The sequence below is a fragment of the Homo sapiens genome, chromosome 14 (assembly GCF_000001405.40).
Source record: "Homo sapiens chromosome 14, GRCh38.p14 Primary Assembly".
Taxonomy (NCBI): domain Eukaryota; kingdom Metazoa; phylum Chordata; class Mammalia; order Primates; family Hominidae; genus Homo; species Homo sapiens.
Genome location: NC_000014.9, coordinates 44,547,753 through 44,567,403, shown reverse-complemented (window position 1 = coordinate 44,567,403; position 19,651 = coordinate 44,547,753). Strand labels below are relative to the sequence as shown.

Here is a 19,651-nt window from a genome sequence, read left to right as displayed (position 1 = left end):
ATCCTTCTCCCGTAATCTGGATTTTCAGGTTCCCCAGTGGGGATGTGTTTAGAGGCAGGTATTCCCCTTTCACACTTTGTGAACTCCGTTTTTTGCCTATCTTGCAGCATTTGCAGTGGCCTGCTGCTTCTTTCAAAGGATCTGTTATTTCTTTCAGTCTTCCTGGTATGCTCCTGCTGCTGTTTCTGGAGTAAAAGTCCATGGTGTGAGTCTCCACACGCTGTTCTTTCTGTCCAAGTGGAAGCTACACATCAGCCTTGTCTCCTGATATCTTCCCTCTAGTAAACCAATAAAAGTATTTTTAAATGAAAAGGTCAGTAAATTCTTATAGGTTGTTAGTGATCATATTTTATAATTAATGATGTAAAGAAATGTTCATGATACATGTACTATAAAAAACAAAGAATGTTAAGCATGATGATTGGATTTTCATGTGTGAGATATGCCTCCTTCAAACTCTGTTACCATGTCTGCACATTACCTGTCTGACATGAATTACAAAAAAAAAACCTCAAAGAGTACAAAATAGTATTTAGCATATAATCTAAATTTTCAAAAAAGGGTCTTTATTTATTTCCATATTTTGCCTGTTGGAGGGTCAGGGCTGGAAGGAGAGAGAGCATCAGGAAAAAGAGCTAATGGATGCTGGGTTTAGTACCTAGGTGACGGGATGATCTGTGCAGCAAACCACCATGGTACACATTAACCTAAGTACCAAACTGCACATCCTGCCCGTGTACTCCTGAAGTTAAAATAAAATTTGGAAGAAAAAAAGGAACAATAAAAAAAGGCCTGGAAAGATTTCTTCACCCTAGATTTAAAAATTTTTGGAAGAATTTGAAGTTTTTAGAACTTTAATATTTTTGGAATTAATTCTAAAATTAATTCTCAAAATCACCTGTAGGAATTACAGGTGATTTTTATTCTGTATATTTTTCTGTGTTTTCTGCATTTTCCTACTGAAACTTATTGACTGTTATCAGAAAAAGTAATTTAAGAAGAAAAAAATCAGTTATTGGTACAGTATTCAAATACATGTTTATTTCAGATCTTTTATATTGTTGCCTCAGCTTCCTTAAGCCTTTGCAGATCTCAGTTTTAAAAAATAAGGTACATGTTATTCTAATATAAAACATCTTTGTGCTCAATGATCAGCTGCATGGAGAGGATATACCAGCTCAAAAATATGAATGCTTATGAATCACAGGGTACCAAGGTTTGTAACACTGATCCAACTAGCAGGAGAATTAGTCAGAGTCATTGAACAAAGACAATTTGTTCAAATGTATTCAATAAACTGCTCACTGGGATATGAACAACAATCCCTTATCTTTGGGAAGTGTATGGCCTATTTATTAGTGCAGGTTTTTTGAGAAAAAGATACAGATAACAAGCTGTGAAAGTCTTCAGCTGTTTCATTCTTTGCAGTGCTTAAACATTTAAAAAGAAAACCCTAATTTTTGCAGTTATATTGACATTGTAATTTTTGCATATTTAATAAACGCTAGGTACTTTAACTGAAAAGTGGAATTTTTCATGGAATGCTACCCTTTTCATTACTGCATACATCTTAGATTTAATTTAGCATGGGATGCATCAACCTTGGCTCTTGGAGACAAGGTTAGAATCCGTAGTGCATGAAAACGAGCTCTTCTAAACATTTTTTTTTTCATTTCCTACATATTCTGTGCCTGCTTTGGGGAGAACACAAATAATGAGAACAGTCCTTTTTCTTAACTTGACAGAAAATTATTAGAGTAGATGCAAATATTTTCCTTTTTAGAATGGAAAGGACTGCCTTTCTCCACATCACCGTTCACTTTAGAATGCCAACAAGGTAGCACTTGTCATACTATAAAGCAAAACAGCCCTTGTGGAAGTCTTACATGTTTTGAATAAAGCTGTTATTGTTTAATGTATAGTCTTCTGATTTTTTATGTTTTTCTACCAAAATTCAGATGTGCCTTATTATCATCAGAAAGATATTCTATGGATTGATATCAAAAATTTTAAAGATATTTTGAAAATTTTCAGATTTGTTTCAAAGTACCCTTTTTGGTTGAATTTAAGATATTAAAAAATCCTATTCTCTAACTGATATTCATATTATTACTCCATTTCTTTCTTGGGAAGAAAGATAGATTACCCACACTTATGGTGTATGTCTGTGTGTACCTATTTACAAGATACTCATTAATAAAGTTAGCTTTCTTTGAAAAGCTTGCACTATGATTCATCTGAAAAGTAAGGCTTGAATGAAGCTAAAGAGGTTTAATAAAATCTCGTAGTGAGGACTCTTCATTGCATGTAATATGATCTGACTTAAAGGGAAAAAAAGAGTTTGCTGACTCATATAATAGAAAATTCTAGGCATAGGTCAGTCTTCTGGCAGAGCTGTATTTTAAAACTAAAACAAAGTCCTCAAAGTTTAGTTTATCTTTACCTCTCAGCTTTTTTTTTTTTCCTTCCTTCCGCATCAGCTTCATTTCAGCTGAATCAACCAGCCACTTTCCTCCACTACCACTTTCCCTACTTTTAAAGGCAAAAATTTCTTTTCTAAAATTATAATTAAATTTCCCTGGGATTGAGTTTCTTTGGTCCTGTAGCTTGGGTTATGCTCATTACTCAATTAAATGCCTCTGGTCATCAGGTGTTATGCTCTAATGGACAAGGCCTGAGGCATATGGAAGCTCAGAGCCAGGGGTAGATCCATTTATATGAACTGAGAATGGGGAAAGACAAGATATCCCCAACTGCTATTATGTGAATAAGAGGGATTTGATGTAGGGCAGGAAAATATGATAAATATCTAATACAACTTCATAAATCTTTCTATATATCTAAATTATAATGAATATATATATATGCGTGTGTATTTGTGTGTGCATATATAGTCAATTATAGTCAGTGTGTATGTATAGTCAGTATAGGGTGTATATTGTCAGTATAGTATGTATATACAGTCAGTATATGTAGTCAGATATGTAGTCAGTATGTGTATGTATAGTCAGTCAGTCAGTCAGTCAGTCTCAGATTAGGCGATGAAGTCCCTGGAAGACATCAAAATTTTGACACCACTGAGGGCTAGGAGACTTTTGCCTGATGCCCTTTAAACCTATTCCTATTATTATAGGATGAAGAGGGTTATGTCTCCTGGGTGACTGCTACTGGATAGACTATTGAGGAACCATTGTGAAGGCGATCTTTTGATCAGATGAAGGTTTCATAGAATTTGTTTGCTCTTGTCTAGCTGGTTCCTTTTAATTGCACACATTAATTGGAGTTCCTCCTAATGAGCCCCAATGACTTGGACATTCAAAGAATAGTCAGTAATAAAAAAGCAGGCCATCTTGATGTCCCAAAGATGTGGGGTTTATATCATTTATTGTTAAAATAGGGCAGCTTGTAGCACCAAAGACGATGCTATATTGGAGGCACATGGGATTTGAAATATCTATAAGATTGTTCTGGTCATGGAATTGGCCTGAGAAATCTAGAGAGCCTTCAGACCCACTGAGATCCTTTATGAAGTTGAGGATCTGAAACTAAGTTATACTGGCAGTTCTATATTGTTCTGCCTCTTCCTTCATGTCTGTTTGAATGGGCCTAAACATTCTATCTGAGGATAGAAAGGCAATTTCTTTGAGCTTTCATTGAAGTAATACTTCCTGATATCCCACAGAGTCTCTTAGCATCCTGCGAGGAGTCTAGAATAAGTTCTGGAAAGTATCTGAGTCGAGATTAAGCCTTCTCAAGCGAGTCTCACTAAAGGTGTTTTCTTGGGTCATCCTTTATCTAAATTCTTCTTTTTCTTTGATTTCCATTTTTTTCAAGTTTTTAGTCAATAAGAGGATATAGGTTTTTTATTTGGCTGGAATTTAGAGTCCTTTGATTAGCGTGTACCTTCATCTTTGAGCCATGACATGAAAGCCAGTTGAGGACCCCTTAATATAAGCAAGATGGTGCTATGGTACTCACATCTGGTGGTTAGCAGGTACCACAATATTAACATTACGAAGATAAGACTGTTAGGAGAATTTGGTTCTCACTATGGCCTATACTAATTTAACAATGAAAAAATGCATTGTCTCTGTTAGTAAAAAAATTGCATGATTCTAAACTGTATATTTTGAAAACAAAACATTGCATTTACAGTTTTATTTCCTTGCTTATAGCATGGATAAAATGCAATTTGTATATTAGGCATTTCAGTTGCTCTGAAAAGCAGTCATAATGAAATCTTTAAGGTCGCTTGTTTCAAAAACGGCATTTAGAATGATGTCTACTTTAGTAAGGCTTTATATTTTACCCCTACCGGAAACTTATGTCTCTCAAATAAGAAAACGAACATTTTCCCCCAGCAGATTGAAATGAGGAAAATTGTAAGAGCTTAGAATCTGGAAAAGAAAATAAAGTGTCAACTATAGATGTGAGAGGTCCTCCCCTCCATCTGGTTGTAGCATTGGTGTAAATAAGAAATTGTTGAGCTGGATAATTTAATTGAAAAGCAGATGATGCTGTCTTTCCTACTGACTATGGCTCTATTTCAAGTTCTCATTATCATAGGCACAAAATGTTTGAGGAAAGTAAATAGGTCAACGAACCTCAAGTGCAGTTAAGTCCTCATGTGTAGGGCAATAACTTTAGTTCGTCTTCAAAACTTTTAAAATTACCCCAGCAAACCAACAGCAACTTTTAATGAGACATGAGCAAGGAATACACAGATTCTGTAAGAAGGAAAATCAGATAGCTATGGCAAAATCCCTGCTCTGCTACACATAGGTTTACTCCATTTGCTCTTAATGAAGCATGGCCACTTTCTGTGTTCCTGCATTTAATTCTACTTTCTGTATGTACTTGTTTCACCTTCCCAGGGATACAGAGACATGTACATTCCAAAGAGATGAATCAATAAAAGAGGAGAAACATCTTTCCAGTACATGATTAAAAAAAGAGACAGAAAGAAGCAAGCACCCTACATACACAGTGAAATTAGGAATTAGAAATCTGTGTTAATTTAACTTTAGTTCCACTATTTATTAGTCATATAACTTTAGGTAAGTTTTTCAACCTCTATTGCTCTCAGTGACATCATCTGTAAAATTAAAGAGGTGATTTAGATAACCTAACTTAGTTTTACTCTATGGTATCAACGTAAAACTTTTTAAATGACTGAATAACTTTAAAAAGCTCATTTTGAGAATCAGGACCTTTGTATTAGAATTGCCATTTGGGATTCACAATTGCGTTTTTCTTGGTGCATAGTGATAAGCAGGCAATTTTGAATATTGGAACAGGAGAATAGCTTGGATTTACTTAGAAGGCATGGGGGAAGAGGCTGAGATTTTAGAAATGCTGTCATTGTACTTCATTAATAACTACTTATCCCATTCTCCTCCATTCCTAGCTTTCTTTCTAAGTGTTAACTCCCTAGTTTAAGCAATTGCAAAGTTAGAAACTGTGTGGGTTTCAGTTTCAGTTTTTAAATTTTTATTTGCTTTAGTTTAGCCCTTCTTTCTCTTATATCTTGGGAAAACTTTTTAATACTAATAATTGCTAGTGGTTTTTGAGGAGTGTATACTTGTTTTTTTTTGTTTGTTTAATCCTATTAAAATCCTATAAGGTGGGTGTCATCATATTCATAAGTAACCTGTCCGAGGCTATTCAGCTAGAGAGAGGCAGAGTCAGGATTCAAACCCAAGTCTGTTTCTCTAGAGCCTATCTTCTCTACCTTAGGAGATAGCATAACACAGTGGTTGTCAGCAACAATATGAGCTAGCGCTTATATCATGTTCTCTGTGTGTCAGGCATTGTTTTAGGCACTTTAGGTATAACGAGACTCATAATTCTCATAAAAAAATCTATGATGCAGTCTCATTAATATCCCCATGTGATGGATGAAGAAACAGCCATAAGGAAGTTAAGTAATTTTCCCAATGTCAAACAGCTAATAAGTGCCAGAGCTGAAATTTGAAACCATGAATGTGGCCCCACAGTCCTTGCAGTTCACCATGATACTACACTGCTTCTCTAGCTACTACTCTTTCTGGAGGAGAACTTCAAAGATAATTCTTGATTTTTATGATAGTTGTGTTCCTGGAACATTTCCTGAATTATTCATTATGACTTCCTTAAAAAAAATGAAGCATAGGTTCTGTTAATGCAAGAACTAAAGTGAATAAAGTGGGAAAAGGGAGACCTGAGAGGTATTAATAAAGAGAATGGTTATGGTGAGAGTGTTGTGTATAGGACCAACTTGTAGCGATGGCATGACAAAAAAAAAAAAAAAAAGAAAAATTATCTCTACTTGCCTAAATGGAGTGGAGAGGTTTTTCCCTCTGTGGGTTGTGTGTGTGTGTTTGAAACAATAGATGGGGAATTAATTCAGTGAGATATATTAACAAACTGTAGTCAAAATTTTGGGTGTGGACCAAGCTGACTTTGGAGACTGGCAGATGCTGTTCCAGCTATGATGACCAAAGGAGTTGTTTGTGGGCTCTGACATGTGCCCATGGTCCTTGCCCCAGTTTATGTACATGGTGTGGTGCTAATCTGAGTTTCGGAGAATGACTTCGCTAACTTAAGGATGTACTTTGGACCCAATTACCTTCCATCAGTGAGGTACTGGAGCCACCTCTAGTGATGCAGGACATACAGGATGGTATAATTTTCACACTCTATTGTTCACTAGTCAAGAAGGGGAGTATATAATAGTTCGCGATTGTCAAGTCTGGAAGGGAAAATCAATGAAAAGATTGGGGTCATGTGGCAGGCTTTGCATTTTACAGGTCTCCAGATTTTATGGATAAGCATATTGAGGACTAGGAATTATTCTTTTAGAGGATTGAATGGAATGGAGATATTTGTTTAATAATCAGATTTCCCTTCTTTATGTTGAGAATTCCTCAAAAGCCCTTGTTTTTTAGATCATGTCTTGTGGTCTTTTGTCCTATTAAAGATGTGTTTCTTGAAGTTTCCCCAAAGTATTTGTTGCTGAGGAAGATGGAGGAGAGGAAAAACCTAAACACCTTGGTTAGAAACCTTAATTTGGGTGGAGGAGGCGTTGCATTAAATCAAATATGGTAAACTTAGTGGGGAGGAGGAGTATGTGACATAGGACCACAGGTAGCTTCCATGGTGCCATGGATGTGTTTGCCCTTGAAAAATTATAGTAATAAATGCACTTTCACCAGGAAAAAAAGAAAAAACCTTTCCAAAGTAGGAAACAAAGTAGCTCTCATGCCACAAAGTCATCTGGGTATGAAGCTTGCGGAGACAGCAGATGCTCAGAGCAAACTCACGGACAGCACAAGTTTTCAGAGAGGTCCAAGTTGTGAGCCATTTTTTTAGACTTTGCTAATGACCAGGGAGATCAAATTGTAGCCCTGTATTGCAAGGAATTCCCAGATACCATTTATTATGTTAGAAACCTACAGTGGCCCCAAATTCAGCAGGCAGTAGAGAAACACTTTATGTTTCCATGTCTGAGTTTAGGTTTAGTCCCATACCCCACACATTTTAATGTGATGCTTTATGTTCTCCACAACTTGAGGTATCCAAAAGTTTTAGGTTCCAGAATTCAAAATTTTAAACAGGCCAAAAGAGATGCAGCCTTCTGGCAGGTAAGGAAGTTATAAGAGTGACTGCTCTTGGCCAGAATATAGAGAAAAAAATCCCCCAACTAGGTAACTTTTTGGTAAGGAAAATGTGTATTCAGCTTAGTGGGAGACTGTGCACCATGCCTCGGATTTCTATACTGCTATTGTTGATTTCAGGTGAAGGAGGCTGATCCTGGGCTATGGTGTGTTCATATGACAACCCTTCAGGATGGACTCTAGATGACAGTGTTGCTGCTGATTTTTAAACAGGTCCTTTTGGGTCCCCCACCTCCTTTTCCAGTAGCAGGAATGCGTAAACAACTCTCACTGAGTACCTGGGAGTGTTCTGTTTTACATTTTACATTTTATTTTTTATTATTTTTTTTTTTTTGAGATGGAGTCTCACTCTTTCGCCCAAGCCAGAGTGCAGTGGCGCTATCTTGGCTCACTGCAAGCTCCAACTCCCGGGTTCACACCATTCTCCTGCCTTAGCTTCCCGAGTAGCTGGGACTACAGGCGTCTGCCACCGTGCCCAGCTAATTTTTTGTATTTTTAGTAGAGACGGGGTTTCACCATGTTAGCCAGGACGGTCTCGATCTCCTGACCTCGTGATCCACCCGCCTCGGCCTCCCGAAGTGCTGGGATTACAGGCATGAGCCACCGTGCCCGGCCACATTTTACATTTTAAATCATTTAACCCAGAAGCCTGTTAGTCTTGTAGATTATTATATCTCCATTTTTAAAGATTAGGAAACTGAGGCACAAAGAACATATGGAATTTGCCTAAGTTGAGTAGCAGTATTGGAATTTGAACCAGGTTGTCTGGCTCCAGAGTTAGTGTTTATAATTAATATATTTCGGTGCTTCTTGTTGGATAATCTTAGGGCTCTGGCAAACTCAAGACACCCAGGGGATGATGTGATGCAAGTTTTCTGCACCCACCAAGCTGGGAACTGTGCTTGTATTTTGTTTTGTGCTTGTGAAAGTTGCAGGCAACTTTTCTGAAGGTGTCTGTCTTGTCAGGTGCCATACTCTACATAATATTTTCCCTTATATCTACTTCAACCACAGGAAGGATGTTTTCTGTTTCCAAGTGGGACTTGGACTAATATATTCCTCTGAACAGATTAAAAAAACAAATACTGCTGGGCTATGGCAGTGTCACAGACGAGGCATTGGTCCAGCAGGCCCAGCTGTTTATCAAGCTCATTTTCCCATTCAACTCCACACAGTGACCACCACCCACAGGTAATTCCTATTGAGGGTGTGGCCATATTTTTTATTCAAATGGCAGTGATTACACTTGCAGCACAAGTTCATTATAGAAAACAAGAAAAAGAGAGAGGTTTATTGATGACAGTGAATAGCATGAAGATCAGCACCCTTTTCTAATACAAATGGGAGAAAATAATGAGTGGCTGTTTAATCATCTTATATAGTGATCTTTGATTGCTATTACTCTTTCTTTACTGGAGCTTCCATGGCATAAAATTTTCATGCCTCCTTTTTATGTCTCAATTCCATTGTGTGTGCTTTTGGGTTCTACTCCACCTGTCATACTGGATTTTGAGTCCCCACATGGAGAGGCATTTTCAGATGCAGAAGGCAAAGTCTCTCATATTATGACAGTGATTGTACAATTAATATGCTTCCTGGAGGCGGGTGCCTCTGTTTTTGCCATTAATGAATAGTTCTTTCATTTTAAGCATGAGATCATCCTCCAACCTGTGGAAGAAGGGGTGCATGAGGTCTTTTCTCTGTATTTTCAGGGCACTGGTACTCTTTGCAAAGAAGGAAAAATTTGGCTCCATTCCTGTGTCAGATGCATCAGCTTTGTTGTGGTAACTAACCAAGATTTCTAGTCAATCCCTTAAAATTGCTTTTTTCTATGTATTCTCTATCTCAATGAATGGCACCACCACCCAGTCAGCTAGATATATGTGCTGAGACATCTTGGCTATCACTTATCCCTTAAGCCATATTCACTAAATCTTAAGAGTTTCGGGGGTGGAGCCAAGATGGCCGAATAGGAAGAGCTCCAGTCTACAGCTCCCAGCCTGAGCGATGCAGAAGATGGGTGATTTCTGCATTTCCATCTGAGGTACCGGGTTCATCTCACTAGGGAGTGCCAGACAATGGGTGCAGGACAGTGGGTGCAGCGCACCGTGCATGAGCCGAAGCATGGCGAGGCATTGCCTCACTCGGGAAGTGCGAGGGGTCAGGGAGTTCCCTTTCCTAGTCAAAGAAAGGGGTGACAGACAGTACCCGGAAAATCGGGTCACTCCCACCCTAATACTGCACTTTTCCAAGGGGCTTAAAAAACGGCACACCAGGAGATTATATCCCGCACATGGCTCGGAGGGTCCTACGCCCACGGAGTCTCGCTGATTGCTAGCACGGCAGTCTGAGATCAAACTGCAAGGCAGCAGCGAGCCTGGGGGAGGGGTGCCTGCCATTGCCCAGGCTTGATTAGGTAAACAAAGCAGCCAGGAAGCTCGAACTGGGTGGAGCCCACCACAGCTCAAGGAGGCCTGCCTGCCTCTGTGGGCTCGACCTCTCGGGGCAGGGCACAGACAAACAAAAAGACAGCAGTAACCTCTGCGGACTTAAATGTCCCTGTCTGACAGCTCTGAAGAGAGGAGTGGTTCTCCCAGCATGCAGCTGGAGATCTGAGAATGGGCAGACTGCCTCCTCAACTGGGTCCCTGACCCCCGAGCAGCCTAACTGGGAGGCACCCCCCAGTAGAGGCAGACTGACACCTCACACGGTGGGGTACTCCTCTGAGACAAAACTACCAGAGGAACGATCAGGCAGCAGCATTTGCAGGTCACCAATATCTGCTGTTCTACAGCCACCATTGTTCTGCAGCCACCGCTGCTGATACCCAGGCAAACAGGGTCTGGAGTGGACCTCTAGCAAACTCCAACAGACCTGCAGCGGAGGGTCCTGTCTGTTAGAAGGAAAACTAACAAACAGAAAGGACATCCACACCAAAAACCCATCCGTACGTCATCATCATCAAAGACCAAAACTAGATAAAACCACAAAGATGGGGAAAAACAGAGCAGAAAAACTGGAAACTCTAAAAAGCAGAGTGCCTCTCCTCCTCCAGAGGAATGCAGCTCCTCACCAGCAACAGAACAAAGCTGGATGGAGAATGACTTTGACGAGTTGAGAGAAGAAGGTTTCAGATGATCAAACTACTCCGAGCTACAGGAGGAAATTCAAACCAAAGGGAAAGAAGTTAAAAACTTTGAAAAAAAATTAGATGAATGGATAACTAGAATAACCAATGCAGAGAAGTCCTTAAAGGAGCTGATGGAGCTGAAAGCCAAGGCTCAAGAACTACATGAAGAATGGATAACTACATGATGAATGGATAACTAGAATAACCAATGCAGAGAAGTCCTTAAAGGAGCTGATGGAGCTGAAAGCCAAGGCTCAAGAACTACAGGAGCCGATGCGATCAACTGGAAGAAAGGGTATCAGTGATGGAAGACGAAATGAATGAAATAAAGGGAGAAGGGAAGTTTAGAGAAAAAAGAATAAAAAGAAAGGAACAAAGCCTCCAAGAAATATGGGACTATGTGAAAAGACCAAATCTATGTCTGATTGGTGTACCTGAAAGTGACGGGGAGAATGGAACCAAGTTGGAAAACACTCTGCAGGATATTATCCAGGAGAACTTCCCCAATCTAGCAAGGCAGGCCAACATTCAGATTCAGGAAATACAAAGAAAACCACAAAGATACTCCTCGAGAAGAGCAACTGCAAGACACGTAATTGTCAGATACACCAAAGTTGAAATGAAGGAAAAAATGTTAAGGGCAGCCAGAGAGAAAGGTCGGGTTACCCTCAAAGGGAAGCCCATCAGACTAACAGCGGATCTCTCAGCAGAAACTCTACAAGCCAGAAGAAAGTGGGGGCCAATATTCAACATTCTTAAAGAAAAGAATTTTCAACCCAGAATTTCATATCCAGCCAAACTAAGCTTCATAAGTGAAGGAGAAATAAAATACTTTACAGACAAGCAAATGCTGAGAGATTTTGTCACCACCAGGCCTGCCCTAAAAGAGCTCTTGAAGGAAGCACTAAACATGGAAAGGAACAACTGGTACCAGCCACTGCAAAAACATGCCAAAATGTAAAGACCGTCAAAGCTAGGAAGAAACTGGATCAACTAAAGAGCAAAATAACCAGCTAACATCATAATGACAGGACCAAATTCACAGATAACAATATTAACTTTAAATGTAAATGGACTAAATGCTCCAATTAAAAGACACAGACTGGCAAATTGGATAAAGACTCAAGACCCATCAGTGTGCTGTATTCAGGAAACCCATCTTACATGCAGAGACACACATAGGCTCAAAATAAAGGGATGGAGGAAGATCTACCAAGCAAATGGAAAACAAAAAAAGGCAGGGGTTGCAATCCTAGTCTCTGATAAAACAGACTTTAAACCAACAAAGATCAAAAGAGACAAAGAAGGCCATTACGTAATGGTAAAGGGATCAATTTAACAAGAAGAGCTAACTATCCTAAATATATATGCACCCAATACAGGAGCACCCAGATTCATAAAGCAAGTCCTTAGTGACCTACAAAGAGACTTAGACTCCCACACAATAATAATGGGAGACTTTAACACCCCACTGTCAACATTAGACAGATCAACGAGACAGAAAGTTAACAAGGATACCCAGGAATTGAACTCAGCTCTGCACCAAGCGGACCTAATATACATCTACAGAACTCTCCACCCCAAATCAACAGAATATACACTCTTTTCAGTACCACACCACACCTATTCCAAAATCGACCACACAGTTGGAAGTAAAGCACTCCTCAGCAAATGTAAAAGAACAGAAATTATAACAAACTGTCTCTCAGACCGCTGTGTGATCAGACTAGAACTCCGAATTAAGAAACTCACTCAAAACTGCTCAACTACTTGGAAACTGAACAACCTCCTCCTGAGTGACTACTGAGTACATAACAAAATGAAGGCAGAAATAAAGATGTTCTTTGAAACCAACGAGAACAAAGACACAACATACCAGAATCTCTGGGACACATTCAAAGCAGTGTGTAGAGGGAAATTTATAGCACTAAATGCCCACAAGAGAAACCAGGAAAGATCCAAAATTGACACCCTGACATCACAATTAAAAGAACTAGAAAAGCAAGAGCAAACACATTCAAAAGCTAGCAGAAGGCAAGAAATAACTAAAATCATAGCAGAACTGAAGGAAATAGAGACAAAAAAAAACCCTTCAAAAAATTAATGAATCCAGGAGCTGGTTTTTTGAAAGGATCAACAAAATTGATAGACCGCTAGCAAGACTAATAAAGAAGAAAAGAGAAAAGAATCAAATAGACACGATAAAAAATGATAAAGGGGATATCACCACCAATCCCACAGAAATACAAAGTACCATCAGAGAATACTACAAACACCTCTATGCAAATAAACTAGAAAATCTAGAAGAAATGGATAAATTCCTCGACACATACACCCTCCCAAGACTAAACCAGGAAGAAGCTGAATCTCTGAATAGACCAATAACAGGCTCTGAAATTGTGGCAATAATCAATAGCTTACCAACCAAAAAAAGTCCGGGACCAGATGAATTCACAGCCGAATTCTACCAGAGGTACAAGGAGGAGCTGGTACCATTCCTTCTGAAACTATTCCAATCAATAGAAAAAGAGGGACTCCTCCCTAACTCATTTTATGAGGCCAACATCATCCTGATAGCAAAGCCTGGCAGAGACACAACCAAAAAAGAGAATTTTAGACCAATATCCTTGGTGAACATTGATGCAAAAATCCTCAATAATATACTGGCAAACCGAATCCAGCAGCACATCAAAAAGCTTATCCACCATGATCAAGTGGGCTTCATCCCTGGGATGCGAGACTGGTTCAACATACGCAAATCAATAAATGTAATCCAGCATATAAACAGAACCAAAGACAAAAACCACATGATTATCTCAATAGATGCAGAAAAGGCCTTTGACAAAATTCAACAACCCTTCATGCTAAAAACTCTCCATAAATTAGATATTGATGGGACGTATCTCAAAATAATAAGAGCTATCTATGACAAACCCACAGCCAATATCATACTGAATGGGCAAAAACTGGAAGCATTCCCTTTGAAAACTGGCACAAGACAGGGATGCCCTCTCTCACCACTCCTATTCAACATAGTGTTGGAAGTTCTGGCCAGGGCAACCAGGCAGGAGAAGGAGATAAAGCGTATTCAATTAGGAAAAGAGGAAGTCAAATTGTCCCTGTTTGCAGACGACATGATTGTATATCTAGAAAACCCCATTGTCTCAGCCCAAAATCTCCTTAAGCTGGTAAGCAACTTCAGCAAAGTCTCAGGATACAAAATCAATGTGCAAAAATCACAAGCATTCTTATACACCAATAACAGCCAAACAGAGAGCCAAATCATGAGTGAACTCCCATTCACAATTGCTTCAAAGAGAATAAAATACCTAGGAATGCAACTTACAAGGGATGTGAAGGACCTTTTCAAGGAGAACTACAAACCACTGCTCAAGGAAATAGAAGAGGATACAAACAAATGGAAGAACATTCCATGCTCATGGGTAGGAAGAATCAATATCGTGAAAATAGCCATACTGCCCAAGGTAATTTATAGATCCAATGCCATCCCCATCAAGGTACTAATGACTTTCTTCACAGAATTGGAAAAAACTACTTTAAAATTCATATGGAACCAAAAAAGAGCCCGCATCACCAAGTCAATCCTAAGCCAAAAGAACAAAGCCAGAGGCATCACACTACCTGACTTCAAACTATACTACAAGGCTACAGTAATCAAAACAGCATGGTACTGGTACCAAAACAGAGATATAGATCAATGGGACAGAACAGAGCCCTCAGAAATAATGCTGCATATCTACAACCATCTGATCTTTGACAAACCTGACAAAAATAAGCAATGGGGAAAGGATTCCCTATTTAATAAATGGTGCTGGGAAAACTGGCTAGCCATATGTAGAAGGCTGAAACTGGATCCCTTCCTTACACCTTATACAAAAATTAATTCAAGATGGATTAAAGACTTACATGTTAGACCTAAAACCATAAAAACCCTAGAAGAAAACCTAGGCAATACCATTCAGGACATAGGCATGGGCAAGGACTTCATGTCTAAGACACCAAAAGCAATGGCAACAAAAGCCAAAATTGACAAATGGGATCTAATTAAACTAAAGAGCTTCTGCACAGCAAAAGAAACTACCATCAGAGTGAACAGGCAACCTACAAAATGGGAGAAAATTTTTGCAACCTACTCATCTGACAAAGGGCTGATATCCAGAATCTACAATGAACTCAAACAAATTTACAAGAAAAAAAACAAACAACCCCATCAAAAAGTGGGCAAAGGATATGAACAGATACTTCTCAAAAGAAGACATTTATGCAGCCAGAAAATACATGAGAAAATGCTCATCATCACTGGCCATCAGAGAAATGCAAATCAAAACCACAATGAGACACCATCTCACACCAGTTAGAATGGCGATCACTAAAAAGTCAGGAAACAACAGGTGCTGGAGAGGATGTGGAGAAATAGGAACACTTTTACACTGTTGGTGGGACTGTAAACTAGTTCAACCATTGTGGAAGTCAGGGTGGCGATTCCTCGGGGATCTAGAACTAGAAATACCATTTGACGCAGCCATCCCATTACTGGGTATATACCCAAAGGACTATAAATCATGCTGCTATAAAGACACATGCACACGTATGTTTATTGCGGCACTATTCACAATAGTAAAGACTTAGAACCAACCCAAATGTCCAACAATGATAGACTGGATTAAGAAAATGTGGCACATATACACCATGGAATACTATGCAGCCATAAAAAATGATGAGTTCATGTGCTTTGTAGGGACATGGATGAAATGGAAACCATCATTCTCAGCAAACTATTGCAACGACCAAAAACCAAACACCACATGTTCTCACTCACAGGTGGGAATTGAACAATGAGAACACATGGACACAGGAAGGGTAACATCACACTCCGGGGACTGTTGTGGGGTGGTGGGAGTGGGGAGGGATAGCATTAGGTGATATGCCTAATGCTAAATGACGAGTTAATGGGTGCAGCACACCAACATGGCACATGTATACATATGTAACAAACCTGCACATAGTGCACATGTACCCTAAAACTTAAAGTATAATAATAATAAAATTAAAAAAAAGAGTTTGATTTTTAATCATTTATTTATTTATTTATTCATTTATTTATTTTGTGGAGATGGAGCCTCGCTCTGCCACCCATGTGGGAATGCAGTAGCGTGATCTCAGCTCACTGCAACCTCAGTCTCCCGGGTTCAAGCGACCCTCCTGCCTCAGCCTCCTGAGTAGCTGGGATTACAGGCATGCGTCATCTCGTCTGGCCAATTGTTGTACAGTTTTAATAGAGGTGGGGTTTCACCATGTTGGCCAGGCTGGTTTTAAACTCCTGACCTCAGGTGATTTGCCTGCCTTGGACTCCCTAAGTGCTGGGATCACAGGCGTGAGCCACCACGCCTGGCCTTAATTATAATTATTTCTTAAATCTGACCTGTTTCCCCCACTGCCATTGACATGTTTAGTTTCAGGCATATCTTGTTTTTCCAACTCAGTTAACATGGTAGCATCTATTTATTGGTGACATGGTAGTATTTATTTATACCATTTATGTAACATGATAGCTGATATGATATGGCCCTGTCCCCACCCAAATCTCATCTTGAATTGTAGCTCCCACAATTCCCTTTGTGGGAGAAACCTGGTGGTAGGTAATTGAATCATCGGGGCACGTCTTTCCCATGCTGTTCTCATGATAGTGAATAAGTCTCAGGAGATCTGATGGTTTTATGAAGGGGAGTTTCCCTGCACAAGCTCTCTTGTCTGCCACCATTTGAGACATGTCTTTCACCTTCCACCATGATTGTAAAGCCTCGTGAGCTACGTGGAACTGTGAGTCCATTAAACCTCTTTCTTTTGTAAATTGCCCAGTCTTGGGTATGTCCTTATCAGCAGCATGAAAATGGACGAATACAAAAACATTTATTTGCTTGCTTCCATTATGAATCCTATTACTGCCATCCAATTTTTAATTTTACTTTAAGCTTCTTGATGTCAGTCTCCTAGTTAAAAAGAGCAAGACTTTAGGACAAGTCCCAGATGTTGTGCATATCTCTTTAGCTCACATTCGTTTGGCAAGATCTTTCTAATCCAACTATCTGCAAGGGAGCCAAGGAAATGCAGCTTCAAGCTGGCAGGTCATGATGCCACCTAAAACATGGGGACTCTATTACCAATGGGGAGAATGGGAGAAAGAATGGTCTTTACCTATCCCTGCTCACATATGTGGATATGCATTCATATGTCCTCCTATGCCCTAGAAGGTGGAGGTAGGACACCTTTTGTAGGTTCAGAGCAGTTCTCACAGGATATGAGATGCCCTGAGTACATGTAGGTTCCTGGGAGTCCTCAGACCCACAGACTTAGCTTGTTTGCCATGACAGTGTGGGCCCAAAACACTGATTTTCTCTATCCTCCTGCTACTTCCTCTTCTTTTCCTCTCTCTGCCTCAGACTTTCCCATTAGGTGGCCCAGTTTCTTCACAGCTGATACTACAGTAAGTGTATTCTTATTTTACTGATGCTTCTTTCAGTTTTGACAGTGGTTGGCTGCTTGAGTAGGAGTAAAATTTTTCCTATTCTTCTTGTGGGTAGTTGAGCTCTTAAACCTGTTACTCCCACCTCAAGCATGACCTTCCAAAACATGAAATTGTTTTAACCAGCCAGATTGTCTGGCACAGAGAGTGAAAGAACTGCATTGTACCTAATAAAAAGATTTCTGATATGTAACAAAAGTGGTCCCTAATGTGGATTTCACTGACCTATACCTAAAAGCTAGCTAATATATTTTCTTTTATTAAACTTCTCAGCAGCAGAGTCTACATTTTGTCAATAACAACAACAACAACAACAACAAAAAAAAAAAAAAACAGTGAACTTGAAGGTTTTACTATCTCTGGGTATTGTCAAAACAGCATTTTCTCCACTTTATTCTCACTTGCTAAGTTTTCATTGCACTAAATTCTATTTCCTTTGAAGTTCATGTAGCATCATTTTCTTTAAAAGAGGTTGACTGAGAAAGATTAACTTAGTCTGTTTTTCTCTCCTGCTAACCTACATCTTCATAAGCCATAAAAGCCTAGTCTAACATCACCACAATTGAACTTTTGTGTGTGTGTGTGTGTGTGTGTGTGTGTGTGTGTGTGTGGCTAAAACACAATTTGAAGCAGAACAGTATTTTCCTACAAAGGAAAATAGCCAAGAGCTTAGCCTCTGAAGTCACAGTGCCTGGCTTCCAATCCTGGGTATTATTGTGTGTACTTAAATGTTTTATTTGAAATTTCTGTCTTTGTTTTATCTTGGTAGAAAGGAGATGCAGGCATTACATGCCTCATAGAGTGGTTGTGTTAAAGAAAAATTATTCTCATGCTTGTTAAAACTGTAAGGAAGACTTTATTCAAGACTATTGCAATAGGGGTCATGACTGTCACAATAGTGGGGAGCAACTGAGCTCCCTCTGACTACCGCAAAAGCAGCTGGGATTTTATAGCCAAAGAACAGAGTGTAGGGGACAGTGAATGGAAAATTACTAAGAGGAGAGATCAAGGGTAGGGGCATTCTTGCTTAATGTTCTAAAAGAATTTTTGTTAAAGGTAGGCCAGGGATTTATACATCAAAGGTAGGGGATAATGAATTTGATCAGACATTAAGGGAGATCGTGTATTAAGGGTTGGGAGATTCTTGCTAAATGGAGTTAACAAGATTCTTGCTTAACTGGGCTAGGCTGAGATAGGCTGGGCCAAGGTCCCAGTTCAGAAGAGGGCTCATGGTAACCTGACCAAAATTTGATCAAGGAGAAAATCTTTGTCAGTAGTGAGGCTTAAAGAAGATATTCATATAACCACAGTAAATCAGTCCTTAGCACATTATAAAGGCTGATTAAATGTTAGTCAATATTATTATTATTACAATTAACAATGATTACTTCTCTCTCCATCTTGTGAGTCTGTACAGATTGGGGAATTAATTCAATTCAAATTTCAAATTGAATTAATTCAACTCAAATTTCAAATTGAATTAATTCAATTCAAAATTCAGAGCAAATGCTATTAAAGCATCCTCTGAGTTTGACAGGACTAGCACTGCCTTTAAGTTTTTCTTTGTCTAGTCTGGTTCCCCTGATAGGATGGTGTGATAGAAGATGGGATCTGTGGCCACTTGGTGTTTGGAAGCTGTATCTGAAGACCTGGATGTGAAAGGGACCCTTATCTGCCAATGGAAGATGCTAAAAATTAAGTCTTGAAGGAGAGTGTTGAAGGCAAGCCAAAAACATGTCCAAGCCTGGTCATGTAAGAGGAAATAAAAGGAGCTTATATATGGGATTGACTTGGTGTTACAGGACTTCCAGCCCAGAGAAAGTGAAGTGGCCAGTTTGGGCAAATATTTAAATTCCACAGCCAGCAGATCTTAGGATGTGGTTTATACATATTCAGAAAGAGCAGATGTAATACAGTCTAGATTTATTTAAATGGGAATATAAAAAGACAAATACTACTAAATTACCTGATTGCTGAAATAGAACCAAATTTTCAGGCTGGGGTACCCGAAGCCCAAAAGACATGGTGAGTTACCTTTTTTGCTACCATGTTTTTGTGGTTCTAACTCTTCTTACAAATCTGGGAAATATGCCTTCCAGAAAAGTCGGTACTTCCTCAGTTACAAGCATTCCTTAACTATCAGAAAGTAAAATTTAATAACAAGCAGAAAGCATGATCCAATTTCATTAATGCAACTGTCCATTGCTTCCCTTTCAGGTGAGTTGATGTTTCTCTGCTGTGAGGCATGCCTTCAGATGGCACAGGTCCTCTTTCTGCACTGTTGTCCTCTGCTTTAGGACACCTGTGTCTCAGTCTCTCTTC

The 19,651-nt window shown here is 39.3% G+C and overlaps 1 pseudogene; it reads left to right on the top strand.

The window, feature by feature from the left end:
* The first annotated feature begins 405 nt into the window (after positions 1 to 405).
* Positions 406 to 491, top strand: LOC124903432 (uncharacterized; annotated as a pseudogene).
* The last annotated feature ends 19,160 nt before the right edge of the window (positions 492 to 19,651 follow it).